The following is a 1,148-nucleotide window of genomic DNA, read 5'->3' as shown; positions in this document are numbered from 1 at the left end:
TTCTATAAGTTATCTAAAATAGTCAAACTCCTAGAAGAAAAGAATAGTGGTTGCTGGGGCCTGGGGGAGGGGGAAGAGGGGAGTTGCTAATCCATGAGTATAAAATTTCAGTTTGCTACTCGGGAGGCTGAGTCAGGAGAATCACTTGAAGCCGGAAGGCAGAGGTTGCAGTGAGCCGAGATCGCGCCACTGCACTCCAGCCTGGGCAACAAGAGTGGAACTCCGTCTCAAAAAAAAAAAAAAAAAAAAATTCAGTTAAGCCAGACAAGTACGTTCTAGATACCTGTTGTAAACATTGTGTCTATAGATGACGACACTATATTGTACACTTAAAAATCTATTAAGAGGGGTAGATCTCATGTTACATGTTCTACCACAATTTAAAAAAAAACGATTAAGTGGGGTGCAGACATAGAGAGGGACATGGCATAATAGGAGTCAGAAGAGGGGGGCCGGCATGGGCCACTGACATAGGCATCCATGCTGTGGGATCCATGTGCATGGACCACGGAATCTCATGAGGGCCTTGAGCCTCTGTTTTCCCACCTGCAGGGATCTGTCCGTCGTAGGGTGGATGCTGGAGTCTGTAGCGTGGAGCGTTGTGGGTGCACTCAGCACCCTACTTGGGACTGAGCACAACATCCAGGCACTAGCTTCCCTCCCCTCCTGACCCACAGCTCCTTCTCCCAGGCCTTTTATTGGCTCTGCTGTCCCTCTAGCCCTCCGAACCCAGGCTTCATCAAAGAGTCTGCCAGGTCCTCCCCCTTCCCTCACCAGTGTCCCCTCTCCATTGTGCTCAGCTCTGCGTTGTATGCAGGATGCATGATTTGGTATCTGCAGGCCTGATCTTTCCCTCAGATCCAGGCCCTCACTTCCCTTTTCCTCTGGGGCCTCTCAGTTCCTGCAGTGGGGCACCAGCTTCGTCCTGCTTCCCCAGGGGAAGCCCCGCAACCTCCCTCCCCCACCCCTGCTTGGTCAGACATTCTCAGGCGCTCCCTCTCACGTTTCCCACCTTCCAGCAGCTGTCACAGCCTACCAAGCCTTGTCCTGCAGTCCTGCAGCCCCTCACCTGCTGGGCGTCTGGCTGCTCTTTTCTCTTCTCATCCCCATCCCTATAATTCAGACCCTCATCACCGTTCACGGAGACC

General features: G+C 52.4%; 1 annotated feature.

The window, feature by feature from the left end:
- Window positions 446-946: an enhancer, noted in NCBI's record as "H3K4me1 hESC enhancer chr21:42474333-42474833 (GRCh37/hg19 assembly coordinates)". NCBI's record gives its function as "activates a minimal SCP1, AML or CMV promoter by ChIP-STARR-seq in naive H9 embryonic stem cells {active_cell/tissue: H9 hESC(naive)}" and the evidence as "EXISTENCE:reporter gene assay evidence [ECO:0000049][PMID:30033119]".

Source organism: Homo sapiens, chromosome 21, assembly GCF_000001405.40.
Source record: "Homo sapiens chromosome 21, GRCh38.p14 Primary Assembly".
NCBI lineage: Eukaryota > Metazoa > Chordata > Mammalia > Primates > Hominidae > Homo > Homo sapiens.
Note: the sequence above shows the minus strand (reverse complement) of the source record. Positions and strands in the feature narration are given on the sequence as shown.